The sequence below is a fragment of the Homo sapiens genome, chromosome 1 (genome assembly GCF_000001405.40).
Source record: "Homo sapiens chromosome 1, GRCh38.p14 Primary Assembly".
Taxonomy (NCBI): Eukaryota; Metazoa; Chordata; class Mammalia; order Primates; family Hominidae; genus Homo; species Homo sapiens.
The window spans coordinates 70407192-70434200 of record NC_000001.11 but is presented as its reverse complement, the minus strand read 5'-3'; the positions used below and the strand labels follow the sequence as shown (position 1 = coordinate 70434200).

The 27009-nt window shown below is 39.7% G+C and overlaps 1 protein-coding gene across 4 annotated transcripts in view, besides 3 other annotated features; it reads right to left on the bottom strand.

The window, feature by feature from the left end:
* The window catches only part of CTH (cystathionine gamma-lyase), a 28584-nt gene extending 5651 nt beyond the window's left edge, over nt 1–22933 (bottom strand). The window contains exons 1-9 of one of the 4 annotated variants that reach the window (NM_001902.6): nt 22618–22933; nt 18164–18245; nt 16169–16264; nt 12526–12635; nt 9785–9916; nt 4350–4407; nt 3807–3884; nt 1966–2118; nt 252–373 (exon numbers count right to left, since the gene is read on the bottom strand). In NM_001902.6, coding sequence (NP_001893.2) covers nt 252–373; nt 1966–2118; nt 3807–3884; nt 4350–4407; nt 9785–9916; nt 12526–12635; nt 16169–16264; nt 18164–18245; nt 22618–22785 — 999 coding nt within the window. In that variant the 5' untranslated portion in view covers nt 22786–22933. Of the gene's footprint in view, nt 1–251; nt 374–1965; nt 2119–3806; nt 3885–4349; nt 4408–9784; nt 9917–10928; nt 11068–12525; nt 12636–16168; nt 16265–18163; nt 18246–22617 lie in introns of those variants that run through there. The other 3 variants (NM_153742.5, NM_001190463.2, XM_017000416.3) reach the window with 3 other exon arrangements.
* Nucleotides 18157–18206: an enhancer, noted in NCBI's record as "active region_1195". NCBI's record gives its function as "activates an Ori minimal core promoter by ATAC-STARR-seq in GM12878 lymphoblastoid cells {active_cell/tissue: GM12878}" and the evidence as "EXISTENCE:reporter gene assay evidence [ECO:0000049][PMID:35858748]".
* Nucleotides 22893–23042: a silencer, noted in NCBI's record as "silent region_989". NCBI's record gives its function as "represses an Ori minimal core promoter by ATAC-STARR-seq in GM12878 lymphoblastoid cells {active_cell/tissue: GM12878}" and the evidence as "EXISTENCE:reporter gene assay evidence [ECO:0000049][PMID:35858748]".
* Nucleotides 23103–23362: an enhancer, noted in NCBI's record as "active region_1194". NCBI's record gives its function as "activates an Ori minimal core promoter by ATAC-STARR-seq in GM12878 lymphoblastoid cells {active_cell/tissue: GM12878}" and the evidence as "EXISTENCE:reporter gene assay evidence [ECO:0000049][PMID:35858748]".

The window sequence follows — 27009 nt, the reverse complement described above, 5'->3', positions numbered from 1 at the left end:
AATAAATGCATTAGAATACTCTGTGTCTCCAAACTGATTGTAGTATGTGGAGAGTTAAGTAAGTGAACATATTTAGATGTCTGCTACATTGTTGTTTAAGTTGTTTTCAACCCAATGCATTTCATGATAAAGAGGTTTATGAGTGTAACCTGCAGATACAAAAACATTATCTGGCTTGAGTAGAAGTGAGAGATAGTGAACTGCTGTAAGGCCTTACCTCCTACAATTTTAAACCTATTTTGTAAGTTTACCTTTAGGTTCTTGAGGAAAATCTCAGCATGCTGAAGAGTGCCCTTAATATAAAAGGTGACCATCCCTGTACAACCTGTACACTGACGCTTCACCAACTCATGCTGTGGATGAGAGGGCAGCCCTGTAATCATAAGGTATCATAAGTCTTATTTTAGAATTAAACATGTAATTTTTGGGGGGGGAGGGTGGTATTTTTCACTGTCTACTTAACTGCAAATAAGCCTAAGACGAGGATTATGCCATGCTCACATCTGACTACTTGCTTGGGCCCCTATCTCTCCAGCTTCATGTTGCCTCATCTTTTCTACCCTCTTCAGCTTTCTTTATGCCAGCACCACTGCACTCCCTTTCATCTCAGGACCTTTGCACATGCTGTCCCTTCAACCTGGACTTCCCTTGTTAATTATATCCTGTAATTTCTTGCTTAGTATCTGTCTTAGCCACCAGAGTTGCTCCATGAGGGCAAATCCATTTCTTTTGTTACTAATTGGATCCCAGTTCCTAGTGCAAAGCCTGGCTCATAGCTGGCGTTTAATAAAAATTTCTTGAATAAATCTCCAATACCTTGTCTATGCCCTTTTAACCAATGCTGCCCATTCTTCATGGCATAGCTCAAAACTCTTCTCTCTCCCTCCATCCAAAATATATATCAATCAACAGCTCTTTACCTAAAGTACCTTTAGGGCATTTAGTTTCATATGTATTTCGCTTTGGTTTCTCTAAATTCCTTGTGAATTTCCTAGTGAAATTCCAGTCTTAATTTTTCTATATATTCTAGATGCTAGAACCCTCAAAAGGATCTAAAAAGAAAAGAACTACTTAGGACCACCACAGCTTAAAAGACTGGTAAAAATAAATTCAAAAAGTAAGATGTAAGTCAGCCAACTCCACAGAAGACTTTCTAGATGCTGGAAGAGGTGAAGGAATAAAAATACAGGAGAGAAATACAGGAGAGAACCTCAGGGGGCTGGGCGTAGTGGCTCACGCCTGTAATCCCAGCACTTTGAGAGGCCAAGGCAGGCAGATCACCTGAGGTCAGGAGTTCGAGACCAGACTGGCCAACATGGTGAAACCCCGTCTTTACTAAAAATACAAAAAATAGCTGGGCGTGGTGGCGGGCACCTGTAATCCCAGCTACTCGGGAGGCTGAGGCAAGAGAATCACTTGAACCCGGGAGGCAGAGGTTGCAGTGAGCTGAAATTGCATCATTGCACTCCAGCCTGGGCAAGAGTGAAACTCCGTCTCAAAAAAAAAAAAAAAAAAAAAGAGAGAGAGAGAACCTCAGGGGAATTTTAGCACCTAATATCAAGTCTCAACTGGGACAAACCTCTATCAGATTAAAGTGACAGCTAATGCTGAATAGCAGACAGACAAGATTATAAGCAAATCAACTGAAAAGTCTAATGTTAAAATCTTTGAATAGGTATACACAAGCCTTCAAATCACAGACCACCACAGGAACAACTAATGCATAAAACTGATTTTCTACTATCCAAGCATCCACTAAACTAGAGGCAATACAACAGTAGAGACCAGGTCTATCTTCTTTCCACCTGACCCACCACAGAGCCTGACACATGGCAGTGCTCAATAATAAATGAACAAAAACAATACGTGAAAGCACCTAACTTACAAATAAATGTTACATAAACACGATGCTCAGGATAACTGCTGAAATCCTAGTAGATCTGCTTAGAAATCAAATTAACATACCAGGATAAATAACCTTTTCTACCCAAGGATTAGATTCCAGGAACTGGGCAACTGCCATTCCGTTTTTGAAATGCTTTTCCATTCGGACATGTAGAGTCTTCAGACCTCGATTGCAGAGGTAACAATCAATAGGAGATGGAACTGCTCCAAGAGCTGCAAAATGAACACATCCTGGATAAGTTTGAAGGCAGGGTATGGCCAAGAAATTATCTGGCTTCTCTTTTCCATTACAGTGACTCTCAGAAGCTAGGTGTAAAGCTCAATGTTTGAGTTCTAGGAGGAAAATAATATATCAAATCAGAAGCAGAAGAACAAAGCATAGAATATGCTTAGAGAAATTTACTTTAAAATGAGGGGAAGCAAATATGCTGAAAACTAAGTAAAAGCACAATGATATAAACTTCTCAAATATGAAGATAAGTAGTCCTTTCTATGATTTTAATAAAATCATAAATTGTTCATAGCCTAACCTTGTATTTCTTTGAAAAATTATTTTAACATACAGAGAAAAACAGCAGTTCAAGTCCTATTATTACTGAATATTCTACTAATATTCTATTTAGCCTTTGTGCAAAGCGGTCAATGATTTCACATGCCTCCAGGATATATACTTCATTTCTACTTTTTATAAACCAAAGGACACTTATCAAGCAATAAGTTTCAGTTTCCCTTGTGGAGGACATTTTTATTCCTAATCATGTTTATATTTTACCTGTCAAGTTACAATGGCTTAATCTTTAACTATACTGGAGATAAACTAAGCAATGTAAATAGGAAATGGTGTTTAGACATCTATTGAAAAATGTAAGTTTATACTGTAAGTGCTATTTAAAATTAACCATCATTCGTGATATAAAAGGTATAGTATATGAAAGCCCTCATTTCAAATGTAATTTTAAAAAAGAAAAAAAAACCATTAAGTCTTGAAACTAAAAATTCACTAGGGCTTTATCAAATTATGATTATAATTAAGATGGACATGAAAATAAAAAAACTCATTTCTTATATCATATCATAAAGCCTTGCTATGCTATAACCGTTTTTGTTTTTTGTTTTTTGAGACAGGATCTCACTCTGTTGCCCAGGCTGGATTGCAGTGGCACGATGTCAGCTCACTGCAACCTTCGCCTCCCAGGCTCAGGTAATCCTCCTGCCTCAGCCTCTGAGTATCTGGGACCACAGGCACATGCCACTGCACCTGGCTAATTGGTTTGTATTTTTGGTAAAGACAGGGTTTTGCCATGTTGCTCAGGCCGATCTCAAACTCCTAAGCTCAAGTGATCCACCTGCCTCAGCCTCCCAATGTGCTGGGATTACAGGCATGAGCCACCGTGCCCAGCCTGCAATAACTATTTTTATAACACTTTCCTCTAAAATCAGAAAAAATTTTTTTGGCCAGGCACGGTGGCTCATGCCTGTAATCCCAACACTTTGGGAGGCCAAGGCAGGTGGATCACCTGAGGTCAGGAGTTTGAGACCAGCCTGGTCAACACGGTGAAACCCCGTCTCTACTAAAAATATAAAAAATTAGCTGGGCATGGTGGTGGGCACCTGTAATCCCAGCTACTCAGGAGGCTGAGGCAGGAGAATCGCTTGAACCCAGGAGGTGGAGGTTGCAGTGAGCTGAGATCACGCCACTTCACTCCCGCCTGGGCAACAGAGTGAAACTCCATCTCAAAAAAAAAAATTAATAAATAAAAAAAATCAGAATTTTTCTCCTCTATTTTTCATTTCTTCATAAATTATTAGAATGCCATCACTTCACATCACTTAGTGGAAATACAAATATCAAATGTAGTCACTGAGAGTGTCATAGGGAACCTGCACTTTTTAATACTTACAGTTTTGCAAGAAACGAAGTCTATTATGAAGGCTTTCACAATTAACAGACACCAGGCCCATTACAACATCACTGTGGCCTAAAAACAAAAAACAAACAAACAAACAAAAATTTCAGTTAGAAACAATTTATGTTTACTCTTTATTTTATAATTTTCAAAATGTGATTTTCACTTGAAAAAACTCTCAGGGAAAAAGCTCTATAAAATAAGTTTAAGTAACCTTTATTCAACTGGACAGTAGCAAAAGCTATGTCTAAAACAAGAAAATAAAAATTATATAAAAACAAAATGTTTCTTTAAGGTGTCAGCAAGATAAAAGCATAACTTTTTATGGCCAACTTTAATCCTCTTCTCATAAATCATGAGCATAGTTTTGTGTACTGTTAATGAAATCCTACATTTAATCAAAGGATTTTTTTTTTTACTCTCTCTATGAGTCACAGGAAATAATCTACAAAATAATCAAAGAAAAGGGATCAAAAGCCAAGCCCTATGCAATTTTCACCTATCCATGAAAAAGAACATTCAAAGTATGCATCTTACCATTCATGTATTTTGTTGCAGAATACATAGAAATATCAGCTCCCAGAGCCAAAGGGCGCTGAAAGAACAAGTTTTTTACTTTAAATGAGAAACAATTTGAAAATATGCTTCATTACCTGCCTATTTGCAATTATAAATTCCATTCTTATTCTAATCAATACTAACTTTGCAAAAGTATGTGCATCTTAAAATTTTCCAGGATCTCTGATATTATTTCTCCTTTGCCTCCCTCCCACCAAAGAAAAATGTAAAGTATTGAATCCAGTATTGAATCTGAAGGCAAAAGTTTCTTGGAAAGCGCAGATAAGCCCAGGTCAACTGGTCTCTTGAACCTGTTTCTTTATAGCAATTGCTGACAGGACTCTAAATTTATTACCTACAGTAGAGACTCTAGTATTTTATGACTCATTAAACACATAAAATAGTTGAAATGAACATTCAGCAATTTTTATGTAGAGTAAGTATAAACTCATCTGCTTAGATTTTTAATCATTAAAACCTCATGACGTATGCTGTGATTATTTACATTTGGGGTTTGTCATGATCTTGATTCCTAATTACTCAGCCCTTCCTATGTGTGGGTTTCACATCCATGGATTCAACCAACCATGGGTAAAAAAATACTTGGAAAAATAGATGAACAGTTGTGTCTGTATTGAACATGTACAGACTTTTTTCTTGTCATTAGTTCCTAAACAATATAGTGTAACAACCATTTATAAAGCATGTACATTGTATTAGGTATTACAAGAAATCTAGACGGCTGGGAGTTGGAGAATGGCTCACTCCTGTAATCCCAGCAATTTAGGGGGCTGAGGCAGAAGGATCACTTGAGATCAGGAGTTTCAGGCTGCAGTGGACCATGATCAAGCCGCTGCACTTCAGCCTGAGTGACAGAGCAAGACTTTATCTTAAAAAACAACAAGAAAGAAAGAAATTTGCTGGGTGCGGGGGCTCATACCTGTAATCCCAATACTTTGGGAGGCTGAGGTGGGTGGATCACTTGAGGCCATGAGTTTGAGCCCAGCCTGGCCAACATGGTGAAACCCTATCTCTACTAAAAATACAAAAAAATTAGCTGAGCATGGTGGCACGCACCTGTAATCCCAGCTACTCAGGAGGCTGAGGCAGGAGAATCACTTGAACCCAGGAGGCAGAGGTTGCAGTGAGCTTTTCATGACACCACTGCACTCCAGCCTGGGTGACAGAGCAAGATTCTGTCTCAAATAAATAAATAAATAAATAAATAAATATGTCTGAAACTGGGAGAATTAAGAAAAATAAAAATGAAAAGGAATTTTTAAAAGTGTTTTCTTTCACCCAATTTTCCTGTAAATTAATCCTTTAAGTCATGGAGTATAATGTGATGCTCAATACATGTGTAATTGTGTAATGATCAAAAGCAGGGTAATTAGCATGCCCATCATCTCAAATATTTATCATTTCTTTGTAGTAGAAACATTTAAAATCCTCTCTCCTATTTTGATATATACAGTATCTTATTGTAACTATGATCATCCTTTTGTGCAGTAGAACACCAAAACTTATTCCTCTATTCCTCCTTCTAATTGTAACTTTGTACCCATTGACCATCCTCTGTCCTCCCCACCTCCACCCTCCCTTCCCCAGACTCTAGTAACCGCTGTTCTATTCACTACTTCTATGAGATCAACATTTTTTACATTCCACACATGAATGAGATCATGCTATATATGTCTGTCTGTGCCTGGCTTATTTCACTTAACATAATGTCCTCTAGGTTAATCCTGTAGTCTTAAAATGTATTTGTTTACAACCAGAGTGAAAAGTGTAGACTTTCCACTTAATAAAACACTGTCAAGCCGGGAGTGGTGGTTCACGCCTGTAATCCCAGCACTTTGGGAGGCCTAGGCAGGTGGATCACTTGAGGTCAGGAGTTTGAGACCAGCCTGGCCAACATGGTGAAACCCCATCTCTACTAAAAATACAAAAATTAGCGGGGGGTGGTGGTGGAAACCTGTAATCCCAGCTACTCGGGAGGCTGAGACAGGAGAATTGCTTGAACCGGGGAGGCGGTGGTTGCAGTGAGCTGAGATCGCGCCACTGCACTCCAGCCTGGGCGACAGAGCAAGACTCCATTTCAAAACAAACAAACAAACAAAAACATACATTATCAACATCTTTCCCTTTACATTTTCCTAAACATAGAACTGTGTGTTTTTATTTCACCCTCATTAGAGCTGTTTAGTCTTTGGAAGATATTAGTATAGGTGGCTATGGGAACTTTTCATTTAGGGTTCCTAAAGGGATGGGGTCAAAGTAGGTGAGGCCTAAGGTCTTTTCTAGTGCTAACATTCTGTAAACTCTACAGCCAAAAGAGAAGGAAAAATAAAAACCAAATCACTAACACCTCTGATCTCATTATCTTCTGAGAATCATGCTACGTACTTTATATAACCCAGGGAAGCAGTGTACAAAATACCTAACTCAATAAAATCAGTACCTTTATGGCTCTCATCATACAGGTGAGGAAAGGGGACTAAGAAAAATGAGATAGATCCCTCAGATTAAAAAGCTGGTAGAGCCAGGACTCACACCCAGACTGCCTGACTCCAGAGGTGCTACTCTGAAACTTGATGATGGTAGGTCTATTTTGCCTTTCGTGAGACTTACAGAAGATCCAGAGGACAAAAGACTGGGAAGAAAGAGAATATATTCCATTTTCATTAAGGTAAGACAATGAGAAGATTTTTTTCAGGAAGATTTGCTTCATGGAAACAACACATGTGGCTACTTAGGGATGATGCGATTCTGAGTATTTCAGCTGGAATAAATCCAAATTGAAATGAAGCAAATTCCAATCATTGGCATGCGGAATGTGATGTGGGCTTCAAAAAGGTAGAAAAACTAGACCTATGTTAGTGACAGTAATAGGAGAAAGAGGGCCAGGTTTGATGAGTAACCCGGGCAGGTCCAGGCTACAAAACGTATGCAATCTTTTTGGGAATATACAGGACTCACTGTGTCTCAGCTAAAGCTATCCTATGCTGTATTAACTGGCCTAATGTAAGTGGCATATGGGCTAAGGAGTTGCGATAAGGAATCTTACACTGAAAACCACCTGGGACAAATAGAAGATGCCAAATAGACAATGCCAGAAGATTTTTCACTGGGAAACAGACTGCTTTACCTGATAAAATCAGCAATCAAAGATACATTATGAGCCAAAGGCAGATGGCCCACGAAGGTGTCTGAATGCAATGTAGCCAGGAAGTGTGCTTCAGGAAAGGAAAATAAACCATGACAATGCCTTCGAATAAAATGGAGGAAGGTGAAAAGCAGGTTTATACCAACTGCCCAGGGAGTCAGCCAGTCACATGGAGGCAGCAACCTGGATCAACTTCAGGGACCCAGAACAGAAGGGGGGAAATGTAAACAATAAAACCTGTAAACATCTGCCCAATTGAAGAGCCAGAGAAAATGAGCTGGTTTTCAGGAACTCTGCAGAATAGAGATGAACTACAGGAAGTGTACTAAGTATGACAAGGTACAGGCAGGAAGAAAAGAGCAGGAAGAAGGTATCTCCTAACAAGGAAAGGAAAGAGTTGGGTTACTCAGAGGAAAGAGAGGGAGAACTTGTGTGGAAAAGGCAGGAAACAAGTTAATTATAAAGAGATCCCAAAGTGATCTACAAAAGAAAGTGAAACACAAAAGAGGATGAAACTAGACACAAGACAGAGAAAAAAGGAAAGGATAGATGTATGGGAGGGGTGGTCTGGGGAGGAAACAAATGCAGAGGGGGCTAGGTAGCGAAAGAAATCTTTAAAGAGAGCTGCTATGGTCTGAACATTTGTGTCCTCCAAAATTCATAGATTGAAATCTAATCACTAGTATGATTAGGAGGTGGGCCTTTGGGAGGTGATTAGGGTGATTTTTGCCTGATATGGTTTGGATCTGTGTCGCCACCAAATCTCATGTTGAGTTGTAATCCCCAAATGTTGGAGGTGGGGCCTGGAGGGAGGTGATTAGTTCATGAGGGTGGATATATCATGAATGGTTTAGAGTCATCTCCCCTTGGGACTGTCCTCACAATTGTGAGTGAGTTCTTGTGAGATTTGGTTGTTTAAAAGTGTGTAGCACCTTCCCCCTCGTTCTCTCTCTTGCTCCTACTCTGGTCATGTGTTGTGCCTGCTCCCCTTTGCCTTCTGCCATTATTGTAAGTTTTCTGAGGCCTCCCCAGAAGCCAAGCAGATGCCAGCATCATGCTTTCTGTACAGCCTGCAGAACTGTGAGCCAATTAAACCTCTTTCTTTATAAATTACGCAGTCTCGGATTATTTCTTTATAGCAGTGTGAGAATGGACTAATACAGTGCCCTGATAAAAGAGGCCCCAGATAACTGCCTTGTCTCTTCTACCATGTGAGGACACAGCGAGAAGGCTCCATCTATGGACCAGAAAGTGGGCCCTCACCGGTACTGAATCTGCTGGCACTTTGATTGAGGACTTCCCAGCCTTCAGAACTGTGAGAAATAAATTGCTGTTTGTAAGCCACCCAGTTTATAGTATTCTGTTATGGCCACCCAAAGAGACTAACATAAGAGCACTATAAATACTTACAGCTATAATGTAAAATAAATAAAGTAAAAGTTCAAAATAATAATAAGTTAAAGAGATCTAGGCATAGTATATGGAGTGCTGAAGGAATAAAAACTAGAAGAAGAGAAATAATATGTATAATATATACTGAAATCATTGAGCATCACTTTTCTTTTAGAATATATATAAAAATATTCAAGGTGACTGAAAAATATGACTGATTTGTAATCAATGCATAAACATTCAAGTCCTTACTATGCATAAGGTATTAGCAGATACAATCACATAATAAGGCCATTTCTTCAGAGTTTACACACTCTAAGAGAACTCGTAAGCTTTTTTTTTTTGAGACAGAGTCTCACCCTGTCACCCAGGCTGGAGTGCACTGGCGTCATCTCAGCTCACTGCAAGCTCCGCCTCCCGGGTTCATGCCATTCTCCTGCCTCAGCCTCCCGAGTAGCTGGGACTACAGGCACCCGCCACTGCGCCCAGCTAATTTTTTGTATTTTTAGTAGAGACGGGGTTTCACCATGGTCTTGATCCCTGATCTCCTGATCCGCCCGCCTCGGCCTCCCAAAGTGCTGGGATTACAGGCGTGAGCCACCACGCACAGCCCTGAGAACTGGTAAGCTTTAATAAATAAAAAACACAAAGTAACATAGAGGATATTAACATAGGTTTGAAAAGATATTAACTAATGGTAGAAGAGGTCCAAATTTAATTCTCGATCCAGTAAATAATTAATTATGATTAGATTTCATGAATTTGATCATGATTTTAATTTAAGCAAGTCCTTTCTTTCCTAATTACAGATATATGTGGTCTACTAATTGTGCCAAAAAAAATTATTTTCATTTACCTGGAAATATGGTGACATAAAAGTGTTATCCACGACCAAAATAATGTCTCCATGCTTATGGACAATATGTGCACAGCCTTCAATGTCAATCACCTTCTGGGTGGGGTTTGTGGGGGTTTCGATCCAAACAAGCTAAAATAATTCAGCAAATAACAGTAGTTTGTAAAAATATACTTTACAAACATACATCTCATATATTGTAACAATCTGGGAAGCTACATTGTATAATGGAAACACATGGATGATGATGTTGGGAGGTTCAAATCTGAATCCCAGCCTTACCTGCAAATTTCTGAAGCCGTAGGTATGTAATGTATCCTATTGATCTGTATAATTGGGTTGGTAATACCTATCTTACAGAATTTTTTGTAAAGATCAAGTGAGATAACGTACATGTAAACAGAAAAGTACTAAAGTTAATTATTGTACTTTTCTTAAAAAAGAAAGTGTATTCCAAAGACAGCTCAGTGTCTGGAAATTTTGTCTCAGAGATGAATAACATAGATTGTGTAAGAATACATCCTAGAATTTTAATGAAAGAGAATTATCCCTATGATGCCAAAAATATATTTAATATGAACTTAATGCCAGAAACTCTAGAAACTATAGAATAAGTATCTAAGACTTGAAGAGCATGGGCTTTAGACTAAAGAAGAAAAGTGACACCCACAACAGAAAACGTGGTTACCGCCTACTTAAAAAGTAACAATGACCTTTATATCTCAAAACCTACCACAATTCAGACACATGGTAGATGCTTGATAGTTATCAAAAAGACCAAAGAAAAGAATTCTATTTGTTGAACGAAATGCCATTGTACTGAATTACTTTCTTTTTTTTTTTTAAGCAGCAGGGTCTCACTTTGTTGCCCAGGCTAGAGTGCAGTGGCATGATCACAGCTAACGGCAGCTTCGACCTTTCAGGCCCAAGTGATCCTCCTACCTCAGCCTCTCCAGTAGTTGGAACTACAGGCATGTGCCACCATGCTCGGCCAATTATTATTATTATTTTTTTTTTTTTGCAGAGAAAGGGTCTCGCTATATATCTTGAACTCCTGGTTCAAGTGATCCTCCTGCCTCAGCCTCCCAAAGTGCTGGTATTACAGGCATGAGCCACTGTGCCCAGCTGATTCTTTTTTTATTACCTGTTATTTAAATGGGCAAGAGATCTGGTTTAAACTCTTCTGACTTTAGAGTTTTACTCTGGAAAAGATAAGATGGTTAAATAATACATATTCTACAAAAATCTTGAATTATTTAAAGAATCTATAAAAATTATTCCTGGTAAGAATTTATTATTCCTACTGATAATAAAAAAAATAAAAATTACCAAATAAATAAAAAGTAGGTTTTACATGGACTTAAACATTCTACTTCAAGTGAAAAACCTGATATTTTAGGAAGGAAAAGGTATTAATTCAAGTTGGTAGAGTCACTATATAAAATTCTGTTGACAAGACTTACTGTACTCATAATTTGCTTTCCTCCCTTAGAAAGATTCAGACCAGGGCCCGGCACGGTGGCTCATGCCTGTAATCGCAGCACTTTGGGAGGCTGAGGCAGGCGGATCACAAGGTCAGGAGTTCAAGATCAGCCTGGCCAACAAGGTGAAACCCCATCTCTACTAAAAATACAAAAATTAGCTGAGCATGGTGATGGGCGCCTGTAATCCCAGCTACTCGGTAGGCTGAGGCAGGAGAATCATTTGAACCCAAGAGGCAGAGCTTGCAGTGAGCTGGGATTGCGCCATTGCACTACAGCCTGGGTGACAGGGTGAGACTCCGTCTCAAAAAAAAAAAAAAAAAAAAGACTCAGACCAGCTATTTTAATGTGACTTTTCTCCCAAGCAAGATAAAAAACAAGTTCTTCTGGAAACAAACCTTAATTACCAAAAGCTCAACCATGTTAATGTGCAAAGTAATTATTTGTACATGAAAAGATATTTATTTTTTAGCATTCATTGCAACATAATCTTGGGTACAATTCTAACCTTTTAATCATTAGCAAAAAGTTGTAAACAGCTGACTTATAAAAGACACTGGTCCTTCTTTTATCCACACAGAATTTAAATAAGGTCCCAAGAAAGAATATCACATATGCCATTCACTCAGACACAAAACACCTTCCGGTGGCATACAAATTTCCCAGGATGGAAGCTAAAGATTGCTTGTGGCCTATTCTCCACATCTAACTAGTATCTGGGCAGCATCCCTTACAGCCCGGCAAAGCCACTGTGCTTCGAGTTTGGGGGTTTGGCAGGCTTCTTTTTCTATAGTCCAATCTCTGTGATGACTTCTGTTACCAATACTCTTTTGGCTATGCAGTTAAAAATTAGGTGCTCCTGCATAGAAATTTTTTTAACAATTACCATGTATCCAGGAACTATACTAAGCATTTCATATTCATTATCTCATTTGATTCTCACACTCCCGTTTCTATAAAACCGGTATAATTATCTCCATTTTGCAAATGAAGAAACTGAGACTTTGGTTAAATAATTTGCCCAAGATAATATACTAACTAAGATAACAGAATCACAATTTGAATTCTACTCCAGAAATCATGTACTACCATTATGCTATAACACCCCGGAGATGACAGTCTATCTTAATTTTGTTGATGTTTCCAATGGCATAAAATAAAATTTGTTATTCACATTAAATTATATCCTCTAGTAAACAGAAATGATGAAAACAAAACATCGAAGGAAAAACAGGCAAAACTGAAAATGAGCTGAGTTACCTTGGTTTCTGGTGTAATTGCTGCCTCTAGTAATTTGATTTTGGAACAATCAACAAAAGAAATCTTTAATCCAAATTCAGATGCCACTTGCCTGAAGTACCTGTTTGTACCTGAGACAGAAGGGAATCAGATAAAATGAAAAGAACATTGCATTAAGAAACATTCATTCCTTCTATGTATAAACACTTACAAAATATATGGAACTCTCAGTCACCAAGGAAAATGCAACTAAAAGCAATTCTAGTTTGGTTAAATAGTTTGGCTATCTGATATAGTAAAGAATAATAAGGTTTGTTCTCTAAAGGCTCAAGAGTCAAATAAAACACACTTGAGATCCAAAAGTAGCATGAAGCAAATAATGTTTTTCAAAACATCCAATCTCCACTAAGTGACATGCTTCCTGAAACATCATATCTTTTCAAACAATTTCTACCTAGTTCTCAACTCTAAACTAAATGAATCAATGTCAATGAAAGGTTCAAAATAAATTTCAATATACTTTGTAATGGAAAAGAATTGGTTACTATTCTTTGTACTTTTTTGATCTTTTTGTTATGTAGTTCTGAAAGTTTTAATCGATAAAATGAGACAATATAAATCAAACTACCAGATTTTTACAGTGAAACAAGGTAAATCATTTGACTTAAAATAATTTTTTATAAATACACCTAGATTTGATTTTTACACATAAAAACTTAAAGAAAAAATTGATATTGATACTCAATAACAACAACAACAACAAAAGAATATTCTGTCATTAATGAGAAACTAGACTTTTGATGGTATGTAGACTGACCCTAGGTAATATAAAATTGAAAAATAATGTAAAAAGTTCTTTAAAATCAACAATTTTCAGGATTTTATACCTATGTTTGCCATGAGACTTTTATATTGCATTATAAAAGTATCTAAAGGTTTCAGATTTCTATAATTTCAACTCAACAAGCTAATATAAGAAACTAAGATAAAATACGAAACATTGTGCAAATTTCTGAGGGATAAAATGATTACTAAGAGTAAGTCCCTTCCTTTAAAGCAGGGGTCCCCAACCCAGGCCACAGACAGGTACAGGTTTGTGGCCTGTTAGGAATCCAGCTACACAGCAGGAGGTGAGCAGCGGGTAAGCAATATGACTCCCTGAGCTCAGTCTCCTGTCAAATCAGCGGCAGCATCAGATTCTCACAGGAGGAAACCTACTGTGAATTGCTCATGGGAAGGATCTAGGTTGTGCACTCCTTATGAGAATCTAACTTTCGAGGGATCTAGATTGCATGCTCCTTATGAGAATCTAAATAGTGCCTGATGATCTGAGGTGGAACAGTTTCATCCTGGAACCATCCCCCTGTCCCTGGAAAAATTGTATTCTACAAAACCAGTCCCTGAGGCCGGGCACGAGTGACTCACATCTGTAATCCTAGCACTTTGGGAGGCCGAGGCAGGTGGATCACCTAAGGTCGGGAGTTTGAGACCAGCCTGACCAACAAGGAGAAACCCTGGCTCTACTAAAAACACAAAGTTAGCCAGGCGTGGTGGCACATGCCTGTAATCCCAGCTACTCGGGAGGCTGAGACAGGAGAATCGCTTGAACCCGGGAAGCGGAGGTTGCAGTGAGCCGAGATCGTGCCACTGCACTCCAGCCTGGCAACAGAGCAAGACTCCACCTCAAAAAAAAAAAAAAAAACACGCCGGTCCCTGGTGCCAAAAAGGTTGGGAACTGCTGTTTTAAAGGACTTAGTGATTTAACTTTTTGTTCAGATAGGAAATAGATAAAATGATAATATTCTAGAAATCACATTTTAATTATTTGGAAGCATCTGGAATATATGTATATGTATATTCACAAAATTCCTTGCTTTTGTTTTAAATACAAAAATCAGTGGGCTTAAAGGCAAGGGCAAGCCTGTCTTCTCCACATTCACCACTTTAAATAGCTAACATTTAATTTCTTTGGAATGGAAGTTCTTAAATTTTTTTTATTATACTTTAAGTTTTAGGGTACATGTGCACAACATGCAGGTTTGTTACATATGTATACATGTGCCATGTTGGTGTGCTACACCCATTAACTCATCATTTAGCGTTAGGTATATGCTTATCATCACTGGCCATCAGAGAAATGCAAATCAAAACCACAGTGAGATACCATCTCACACCAGTTAGAATGGCGATCATTAAAAAGTCAGGAAACAACAGGTGCTGGAGAGGTTGTGGAGAAATAGGAACACTTTTACACTGTTGGTGGGACTGTAAACTAGTTCAACCATTGTAGAAGTCAGTGTGGTGATTCCTCAGGGATCTAGAACTAGAAATACCATTTGACCCAGCCATCCCATTACTGGGTATATACCCAAAGGATTATAAATCATGCTGCTATAAAGACACATGCACATGTATGTTTATTGCGGCACTATTCGCAATAGCAAAGACTTGGAACCAACCCAAATGTCCAACAGTGATAGACTGGATTAAGAAAATGTGGCACATATACACATGGAATACTATGCAGCCATAAAAAAGGATGAGTTCATGTCCTTTGTAGGGACAGGGATGAAGCTGGAAACTATCATTCTCAGCAAACTATCACAAGGACAAAAAACCAAACACCACATGTTCTTACTCATAGGTGGGAATTGAACAATGAGAACACATGGACACAGGAAGGGGAACATCACACACCAGGGACTGTTGTGGGGTGGGGGGAGGGGGGAGGGATAGCATTAGGAGATATACCTAATGCTAAATGAAGAGTTAATGGGAAGTTCTTAAATTTAGAGCCATAGATGGGCTTCAGCGGTTCAATCCATGAGACCCCTAAAATTAAAATGCTAATCACTCAGTGTAGTCTTAAGAACATTTTTTGGGAAAAGAGGCCCATATCTCTCAACAAATTTTTGAAAGTTTCCCTGGTGCCAAACAAAAAATAAAAAGCAAAAGGGGATGTGTGGGGTTGAACTCTTGAGAGTAACCTGAGTTGTATTTCATCTTTATTACAGGTAAAAATTAAGTTACAGGAGAACACTGTCTCTCTAAACCTTATCTTCTCTAGAGCAGAATATGTCTGCAAGTTGATCAAGTGCTACGTATTCATTCTAGCACCTTAAATACTATTCTTAGTAAATAATCTCTGGCCAGGTGAGGCGGCTCGCGCCCGTAATTCCAAAACTTTGGGAGGCTGGAGAGGGAGGATCACTTGAGCTCAGGAGTTCCAGACCAGCCTGACCAACACAACGAAACCCCGTCTCTACAAAAAATACAAAAATTAGTCAGGTGTGGTGGCATGCGCCTGGGGTCCCAGCTATTCAGGAGGCTAGGGCATGAGAACCATTTGAACCCAGGAGGCGGAGACTGCAGTGAGCTGAGATCGTACCACTCCACTCCAACCCGGGTGACAGAGTGAGATCCTATCTAAAAATAAACAAATAAATAAATAAATAATCTCTCTTATAAGCAGTTCCAGAACATGGACCCTAAGTGTTTATGCTCCTCTTTTCCCAAGTCTGAGAGAGCATAGAGGTACCTGTCACACCTGTAAACTATAATAAATAATCAAAAATACTGGCAACATTGTTAATATTAATTCAGGGCTCACTTTATTATCTGTAAAATACAAGTTTACAGAATATAAATGAGAGGGGTCACCTACCTCCATACACATCATCCATACAAATAATTTGGTCTCCTGCTTTTAAAAGATGGGTAATAGTTACAGTGGCTGCTAAACCTGAAGCAAAGGCCAAACCTAAAATAAAAATCAAGTTAGAGTAAGCTGAAAAGTCAGGCCTATAGGTTACAACACACCTCCAAGTATTTACCTGACTTACTTTAATGCAGATAGGAAGCCATCACTGCTGAGTTGCTAGAGGCCCCTGATTAATACCATTACAAAATCTCCTTTTCTATTTCAAGAATAAGATATCTTTAAAATAAAAAATATATAATGTGGACAGATACTTTTGTGTTAAGTCAATTTTGCCTTGGTAATAATATTTCTCTGAAACACTTCAAGAAAATAATTCTTTACAAATATCTGAGATAAAAGGCCTATTGCCAGTTAAACTACAGTTTAAAAATAGCAAACTAAAGGAATTTCAGGGCAGGCGTGGTGGCTAATGCCTATAATCCCAGCACTTTGGGAGCCCAAGGCAGGTGGATCATTTGAGGTCAAGATTTCGTGACCAGCCTGGCCAACAGGGTGAAACTCTGTGTTTACTAAAAATACAAAAATTAGCCAGGCATGGTGGCACATGCCTGTAATCCCAGCTACGAGGGAGACTGAGGCAGGAGAATCGCTTGAACCCAGGAGGTGGAGGTTGCAGTGAGCCAAGATTGCACCACTGCACTCCAGCTTGGGTGACAGAGGGAGACTCCATATCAAAAAAAAAAGAAAGAAAAGAGAAATTTCAAACATAAAGAATAGAGCAAAGATATGATTCATACGTTAATTATATGAATATGCAATTCAGTAAATATTTTAACAAAACTCGCAATCAGACCTGAGATTTGTCTGATAAGTGTAATCACAATGAATACACAAGACTCTCTTCATTAAAAAAAAAAGTTTAGGGAGTTAATCTCTAATCTCTGACAGCACATTATCAGGAGTTATTGACCACTGAAAATAACTTTAGTGCTATTCTCAGGCACAAATTATTAGGTGAATAAACCAGAGGATAAGCAAGTTTAGGCCAAGTGTGGTGGCTCACATCTATAATCCCAGCACTTTGGGAGGCCGAGGTGGGCAGATCACTTGAGCCCAAGAGTTCCAGACCAGCCTGGCCAAAATAGCCCCATCTCTACTAAAAATACAAAAAAAAGGCTGGGCGTGGTGGCCCACTCCTGTAATCCCAGCACTTTGGGAGTCCAAGGCGGGAGATCACGAGGTCAGGAGATCGAGACCAGCCTGGCCAACATGGTGAAACCCCATCTCTACTAAAAATACAAAAAATTAGCTGGGCGTGGTGGCAGGCACCTGTAATCCCAGCTACTTGGGAGGCTGAAGGAGAAGAATTGCTTGAATCCAGGAGGCGGAGGTTGCAGTGAGCCGAGATCCTGCCATTGCACTCCAGCCTGAGCGACAAGAGCAAGACTCTGTCTCAAAAAAAAAAAAAAAAAAAAATTAGCAGGGTGTGGTGGTGCACACCTGCAATCCCAGCCACTCAGGAGGCTGAGGCAGGAGAATCGCTTGAATCCTGGAGGAGGAGGTTGCAATGAGCAGAGATTGTGCCACTGCACTCCAGCCTGAGCAACAGAATGAGAGACCCTGTCTCAAAAAAAGATTTTATATTCTAATAGGTGGTGTTATTAAATTTAATTTCCATTTATTTATTTATACTGACAGTTTCAGATGAAGATTGTTTTCACATGAATACTACATGATAAATGTAGTATTAATAAATGTAGTATTCGTGTGAATTTTTTCCTTTATTCATTTGTCCTCTATTCATACGTATTTTTACCTGATGATTACACATATGCATATTATACCAACTGAGGGACCTTGGGCAAAGAATTCAAAGGCAGTAGAACAGGAATTTTGAACTAGCAAATCTGTTTCTTTTCAGTTCCACATTCTGTGCCTCTATGGTTTTCTCTATACATTTAAAAATAGATTCTAGACTGTGAAATGGAAATTACTTACAGTACTTAGCCCCATCCAGTGCTGCCACTGCTTTTTCAAGGCAATTCCTAGTGGGATTTCCAGAACGGCTATATTCAAAACCCTGAAAAAAACAAGTTCGAGTTCATCCTAAGAGATTTCAGTTTATTATCAGAGTCCTAACATAGAGAACTATAGTTTCACCCTACCATAATTAGTTTCTATTCTTTAGTCATGATATGTCTTGCTTTAATACAGAAGCAGAACAGTGCTGTGGCTATAGTCAAGATGCTCTGAAGTCAAACAAACTCTATGTGAATTCTGTATCTGCCACTTATGAGCTGCATGACACTAGGTAAGTTACTTCACATTTCCAAGAGTCAATCTCAATATCTGTAAAATGGGAATAAAATACAGATATCTGGTTCATAAAATTGTTGTGAAGATAAAATGAGATAATGCACAAATTCACTACATGTTTCCTGGCACATGCTAATCACTAAATAAATGACAGTTTTTATTATTAGTATGTTTATTATGTTAGACTCACCTTTTTTCATTAATCTGGAAACATTAGGAAAAGGGACTTGCATGAGCCAACAGAATAAACCTAATTCTAACCTGTATTTCATTTCCTAAGAAATAAATGATTAAGTGATACAAGTTTTTTTTTTTAAGGATAGGACCTCACTCTGTTGCCCAGGCTAGAGTACGGTGGGGCAATCATAGCTCACTGCAGCCTCAAACTCCTGGGCTTAAGCAATCCTCCGATCTCAGCCTCCTGAGTAGCTAAGACTACAGGTGCATGTCACCATGCCTAACAAATATTTTAATTTTATTTTTTGTAGAGGCAGTCTAGCTATGTTGCCCAGGCTGGTCTTGAACTCCTGACCTCAAGCAATCTTCCCACATTGGTCTCCCAAAGTGCTGAGATTACAGGAGTGAGCCATCTGTCAGGCTGATTCAAGTTCTATTTAGCATACAACAGGAAGTTATGATCACATCCTACCAATGCTCAACATTCATTCACATCTTGGCTCTACAAAAGTGGCTCAAAGCATAGGGAGCAATTCCTGGCAAAACAGCTCCACACAATACTTTTTAAAAATTTGCATTCCTATAATCCCAGCTACTCGGGAGGCTGAGGCAGGAGAATTGCTTGAGCCCAGGATGCGGAGGTTGCAGTGAGCCGAGATAGTGCCACTGCACTCCAGGCTGGCCAACAGAGCGAGACTCTGTCTCGGGAAAAAAAAAAATTGCATTATTCTCCTTTTACATATATGGCACCCTGCTAGCTATATTCATCCAGTCATTCTACTAATCCTTATGACTGGCTTTGAGGAAAGTGAAGCCAAATGCAATAGTACCTAGGGAGTGTCAAAACCGGATTGTGAACCAAGGATTCGAACATTAATTAGAAGTCCTATAATTTTCTCCCTCTGCTTCACATAACATAACAAAACACAACCACTCTTTCACCTTTGTTTCTGATTCAGAAGCTCCCAGTATTAACAACAATAACTTCTAAAAGTTTTGTTGCTATGTGCCCTTGTTTATGACAAGTTGAGCAGACTTTTTTTTTTTTGAAAGGGAGTCTCGCTCTGTTGCCAGGCTGGAGTGCAGTGGCGCAACCTCCACCTCCCGGGTTCAAGCGATTCTCCTGCCTCAGCTTCCAGAGTAGCTGGGACTACAGGCACGCCACCACACACAGCTAATTTTTGTACTTTTTTAGTAGAGATGGGGTTTCACTACGTTGGGGAGGTTGGTCTTCATCTCCTGACCTCATGACCCACCCGCCTCAGCCTCCGAAAGTGCTGGGATTACAGGCGTGAGCCACCGCGCCCAACCTGAGCAGACATATTTTATAGGGCTCCAGGATATCCTTACCCCTCCCCACCATCACCTTCTTACCATGACCTGCAGCTGTACCCTGCAGATTAAAAAAAAAAAAGTTTGGATTCACGTGGCTTCTGCCACAGAAAGGTACCTCCCGTTTCTCATTCAGCTCTTCAAATTCCCTTTAGTGGTCTTAGCTGATTTTTAAAAAGGGCCGGGCGCGGTGGCTCATGCCTGTAATCCCAGCACTTTCAGAGGTGAATCACCTGAGGTCAGGATTTCAAGACCAGCCTGGCCAACATGGTGAAACCCCGTCTCTACTAAAAATAAATAAATTAGCTGGGCATGGTGGCGGGCAGCTGTAATCTCAGCTACTCGGGAAGCTGAGGTAGGAGAATTACTTGAACCCAGGAGGTGGAGGATGCAGTGGGCCAAGATCGCACCACTGCACTCCAGCCTGGGCAAGAGAGCAAGACTCTGTCTCAAAAAAAAAAAAAAAAAAAAGATATTAAGCAGAGTTTTTGTGGATTTAACCATCCCTGCTGGCTTCCTGGAAACATTTAATTATTAATATCACACCTGAATGGTAAACTTTTGCACTAAGTTCCAAAGCTTGGGCAGCTACACTTTCATTAAACCCTACACAAGAAACGAACTGCATGTTTGAAAGAGAGGCTGTGAGCCGGGCGCCGTGGCTCACACCTGTAATCCCAGCACTTTGGGAGGCCAAGGCGGGTGAATCACGAGGTCAGGAGTTCAAGAGCAGCCTGGCCAACATGGTGAAACCCCGTCTCTACTAAAAAAAATAAAAAATGAGTCAGGCGCAGTGGCAGGCGCCTGTAATCCCAGCTACTTAGGAGGCTGAGGCCGGAGAATCGCTTGAACCCGGGAGGCGGAGGTTGCAGTGAGCCGAGATCGCACCACTGCACTCCAGCCTGGGTGACAGAGTAAGACTCTCTCTGAAAAATAAAAAAAAAAAAAAAAGAAAGAAAGAAAGAGAGGCTGTGTACATATTTTGATTCTAAAATACAGTAAAGAGTATTCTAAACCAGTTGTAGAAATGGCCTTAGAACTGTATCTCACAAAACAAGGGACTGTCTGTAAGGATTTTCCTCAACTTATATAACACACTGAAGTGGTTTCCAAAGCATAATCAAGGCTTTGGACTTACAGACTTTAACTAATTCTTACAAATCTCAGCAACTTTTAAATTCTCTAAGATCCATCAAGTATGCCACCAAAAGGGGGAAAAAAGCTATGTGATTAACAAAGAGGGCTCCTTCGTAGGCTTTACAGATCATTCATGTATGACTCTGTGTCAGTTCCTTTTCTATAAAAAGTACATAATACCTGTCCTGCCTTCTGACCTGGTTGTTGTGAGGATCAAATGGAAATAGTGTAAATGTGAACATCATGAAAAAACAAATTACCATCGAGTAATTATTATGTACTATACAGCCTTAAATACATCTCAACAACTTATGTGGTAGATACTATTATTATCCCCATTTATACAGGATCAGTCAGAGGTTTTGATAGGTTAACTAACTTGCCCAAGGTCCCCCAGCTCAGAAGAAGTGGTGTCAGAATGCAAACCTAGCCTTTGACTATAAGATTTGTGTTCTCTTTTTCTGTTGTTGTTTGAGTTGGAGTTTCACTCTTGTCACCCAGGCTGGAGCACAATGGTGAGATCTTGGCTCACTGCAACCTCTGCCTCCTGGGTTCAAGCGATTCTCCTGCCTCAGCTTCCCGAGTAGCTGAGATTACCCGCCACCATGCCCAGCTAATTTATTTATTTTTAGTAGAGATGGGGTTTCACCATGTTGGCCAGGCTGGGCTCGAACTCCTGTCCTCAGGTGATCCACCCGCCTCAGCCTCCCAAAGTGCTGGGATTACAGGCGTAAGCCACTGCACCCGGTCATGAGTTGTGTTCTTAATCACTAAGCCACAGTGCTTAAATGACGCAATAGGCTAAATTGTTACTAGCATTATTAGAGATAGCATAGTGTAGCTGAGTGCCTAGGAGTTGGTTCCTAAAGCAACCTCAAGTTTCTAAAGTTTGAATTCCATCTCCAATACTTACTAGTCTAAGGCTAGTTACTTAACTCCCTAAATCTCAGCTTCTTTATTGGGAAAAAATGAGAATTCGGTTCAGACTAGGGTTGTTGTTAGGATTAGATGAGACAATACATGTAATACACATGATATATACGAGCACGTATTTGGCATATAGTAGGTACTCAATAACTATTCATACAGCTACTGGAAACAATCTTAATTCTAGTCAAGTTATCAGACCCTTAATATTTTTTAAGCTGACTCCGTACTACATCTTTAAAATTTATGCTGCTAAAGGTAACTCAAAAAAGTTATGACCTTCGATTTTTAATTGCAAATTTGTCAAAATCACCTGAATTTCAGGCCAAATCTAAATGGCAAGCTGGACAAACGGCTCCTTCCAGTCCTGCTTATCAAAAGAAATACGATCACTGGACCATCCGATACAAAGCTGTGCTGCAAGAATTACAGTGTAGAAACATCTTTCGGTTGCCTTCCTAATTTATAAGTCATATTATAAATTACTTACATGCCTTTCAAATTCATAAGCCGTATCTCTTTTACCGCCCAACTGTGGACAGCCCCAGACAGACCCAGCTCACCGAGTGCTGGCCAGGCGCCCCTTGCTTGAACGTGGTGGACAGTGAGATGGGGGGCACTACAGCCCTGGAGGTCCATTGCTCTGGATCCTGGCCCACATGGATCGCCTGCGTGGCGAAATGTTGGAAGTGTGGCAGGAAACCTTGTGAGGAGGCGTCTTTTTCCTGCATGCTGAACCGCGAAAGAAGAAGAGAGGAAAAGAACACCGAAGATATAACCAGTCGAAGCCGGGTGTCCGGGGTTGGGAGAGACAGAAGGATCAGGCGAGAAGGAGCTAAAGCACGCAGGTAGAGCCGACGGCGAGCGCACTAAAGCGGCACACAGCGATTGTTGGGGTGGATTTTATTAGCGGGTCTGCAGTCTCACGATCACAGTGGGGCGGGACCAGCGCGGCCCATTGAGCGCAGGCCCGACGCGTCTCCCGCTCCTTATTGGCTGACAGCAGAGGCGTTGCCTGAAACGTCACCGCGACCGCCCCACCCAGTGCACAAAGCGGAGTGAAGCTGGAGTCCCTGGGTCCAAGTGGTGTTAGTCCCTGCGGGCGAAATTCCTGAGTACCCGTCCTGAGGAGGCTGCCATGCTGGCTCCTGAGAGCCACCCGGGCGTCTCTGTGACCTCAGGCCGGAGGTTCGCCCGAGACGTGGCGGAAAGCTGGCTTAGTGTTGAAACCGGGTAACTGTAAACAGACCACATAAATAGCCTTCTTTTACTGTGGTAGTTACCTCTGACCACCATCCTTTGCCCTGAGGGCGGTGCTAAAAGACGTAAGCCACAACGTGGAGGGTGGTTAAGAAAACAGTTGCCCAAGCCGCCCAGTTTGCAGCTTGGATTCTCATCAGTCACAGCTTGCGTTTTAGGTACACTGAACTCTGTAATGACCCAGTGCTTACGATGACGAAACGATGACTAGAAGTGAAGGTTAAATTGTTCGTAAGACATAACGAAGCTACTGTAGTGAGGACGTCTATGCACAACTCTGGCAGCTTCCTAAAAGTTAGTCAATCTTGAGCTTTTTCAAGCATCATTATCTTCTTTTAAAGTACAGAGAGAAACTCCCCCTAATGAGAAAGATAATGTGGCTTTGAAATACTTACTGGAGCCTAACATCCTTACACAAAATGCTTTTGCTTTTACACAACAGCAACATCCCTGCAGGAAAAAGGATTGTTTACCACTCACCTGCGCCCAGAGCCCTACTCTCAGAAGAATCACTGCTTTAAAACAAAAATCTCCCTGTTCCCTAAGCAATACAGACTTGACCTACTTACTATTGTGGCTGTTTTCTAGCACCAGGAAATTTGGGGATATTTCTGTTGTTGCAAAATATTCGCTAAAGATCTAAAACTTTATTAAACAAATTAAGAACAAGGAGAATAAGGAATAAACAGCTCTTAAAATTTACAGTTTGAAAGAAAGATATGAAGAGAAAGAATGAGGCAATTTGCTTTTCAAATTAGCTTTAGGGACATTTAACCCATTAAGCACTAGAGGAGTGGTGCTTGAGGGCCTACAAGCTTTTAGAATCCTACCAAACTTTGTATGGCTGGGGGAAAAAATGGATAGACTTCAAAACACTAATGTATATTAATACATATTTAATTAATATTTTTCTTTTAAAAATATAACATCAACTGCAACTCACCTCAATATTTATGTATAACTATAGGTGGGTATTTTTGTGTAATATGATATGGCATTTAGGGGCCAAAAGGGTCTAAAACAGTTCCAATTAGTTTTACCTCCTAATATTTGCTGACAAACCCTGAGTTGCATAAATACAGACATTTTATTTAGTGTACTGTAATAAAGAATCATTCAGAAGACAGCACTAGGCTGGGTGCATTGGCTAACGCCTATTAATCCCAGCACTTTGGGAGGCCGAGGTGGGCGAATCACCTGAAGTCAAGAGTTCGAGACCAGCCTGGCCAGCAGGGTGAAACCCCATCTCTACAAAAAACACAAAACTTAGCTGGGCGTAGTGGTGCACACCTGTAATCCCAGCTCCTTGGGAGCCTGAGACAGGAGAATCGCTTGAACCCAGGAGGCGGAGGTTGCAGTGAGCCGAGATCATGTCACTGCACTACAGCCTGGGCCACAGAGTGAGACTCCATCTCAAAAAAAAAAAAAAAAAAGATAGCACCCAATACAAATGCTATAAATCAGGCCTTTTTTACTCTCTTAAACTGAGAAAACTTTATTGGATGCAGCTTAATATGTATCAAGGATTTAAAATATCCCCTTTCTATGACTCAGCAATTTCTTTTGTAGAAAATTTTACTTGCAGGAATTTATCCTTTAGATATATTCTTAATATGTGTACAGAGATGAGCAAGGATGCTTTTTAAACCTACGTTACTATTTTTAATAGCAAAAGAGTGAAAAATGGCTTAATTATTCATTCTTAAAAGACTGGTTAACTGGTTATGATACTACTCTGTGATGGCTACAGTATGGCCAAGAAGCAGGAAGAGATTGAGATGTGCTGGTATGTCAGAGTCTCGCTCTGTTACCCAGGCTGGAGTGCAGTGGTGCCATTTCGAATCACTGCAACCTCTGCCTCCAGGTTTCAAGAGATTCTTCTGCCTCAGCCTCCCAAGTAGCTGGGACTACAGATGCAGCCACCATGTCTGGCTAATTTTTGTATTTTTAGTAGAGATGGGTTTCACCATGTTGGCCAGGCTGGCCTCGAACTCCTTGCCTCAAGTGATCCACCAGCCTTGGCCTCCCAAAGTGCTGGTATTACAGGCATGAGCCACCACACCTGGCCTATTGATCTCTAATATCTAAGACAGCAAAGCAAAGTAACGTATACATCATGCTTCCACTTTTTCAAAAGAATATATACTATGTTGCATTATTTTCAGACAGATATTTATGATTTCATATGTATAAAAATCCTTCTGGTCATAGAGACTATGGATCTGCAGTGGAAAGGTGATTTTCTTTACATTTTATTCTCTTTTGTGTTCAAGTTTTATATCATGGGCACATATTACCTTTTCAACAATAATAATACTACCAAAAACCCTAATTTAAACATTTTAGAAAGACAACTGTATTTAGAAAAAAAGCTTTTTAAATGATTAAATGATAGCCACTTTAAATCCAATAAATGGTATATAGTTTGAGGTGTGTGCTAATTTTTCATATAAATTATGTTGCATACAACAAAATATCATAACACTTACAGAAGAATTATTAATTCTTCTTGGGAAGGAGATTCAGCAAAAGCAGATATTTTAGAGGAAATGGGAAACTTCTCATTTTTTATATTTCTTTACTGTTTGATCCTTTTATAAAACACAGAGTACATTATTTTATAATAAGTACTTCTTAAACACTATGAAAATAGCACTGTACTTCTTGTGTTTATGCACAAAGACCTCTACTATTCTCATTAAAGGCAGGCTATGAATAAAGATACCGTGACTGAATATCAAAACAGTGCAATCGGGACTTGGGAGGGATGTTCATAAAATATATTATTATTATTATCAAGCATAAACATACGCAATTATTAGATCTGTTTTGTTTTACCTCAAAAGAAAACAATTTGTTCATCCTTGGGCTTTTGTCAATGAAATAATGAGAATTATGAAGGGAATTTGGGGATCAGGGGAAAGAAGATATTACAATATAAGATCTAAATTTGGTAGACTTGTAGATTACTACAATGGGCCAAAGCCTGTCAGATAGCACTTTTTTTTTTTTTTTTTTGAGACAAGGTCTCAGTCTTCCCCAGGCTGGAGTGCAGTGGTGCCATCTTGGCTCTCATTGAAACCTCTGCCTCCCAGGTTCAAGTGATCCTCCCACCTCAGCCCCACAAGTAGCTGAGACTACAGGCATGCGCCACCATGCCAGGCTAATTTTTTGTGGGTTTTTTTTGTAGAGATGAAGTTTTACCATCTTGCCCAGGCTGGTCTTGAACTCCTGAGCTCAAGCGATCTACCTGCCTTGGCCTCCCAAAGTGCTAGGATTACAGGCATGAGCCACTGCACCAAGCCAGATAGCACTTATGACACCTACCTTCACTTCCTGGTGGAAACAATTTTTTAAAATAGTAACAAAAAGATATTATGCAATCATATCAATTATGTTTTGATATGGCATAATTGAAAATTATATGTCTTGAGAATAAAAAGGTCTAGATATTGTTGATGGAATTATTAAAGTTAATATCAAGAGACACTGGAGAGCAAATTTCTAGCACAATTGCTTTCTTTTAGTGATAGATACAAAGAAGATAAGCGACATACTCATATTAATATAGCGAGTATCTAGGCTGAGAATTGAGTACAGCTTCAGACATTTAAGATGAAGAAGTAATCCCAAAATCATTTGGATGCATTCCACAATGATGTAAAAGGAGTCAAATATGACTGAAAAACATAATA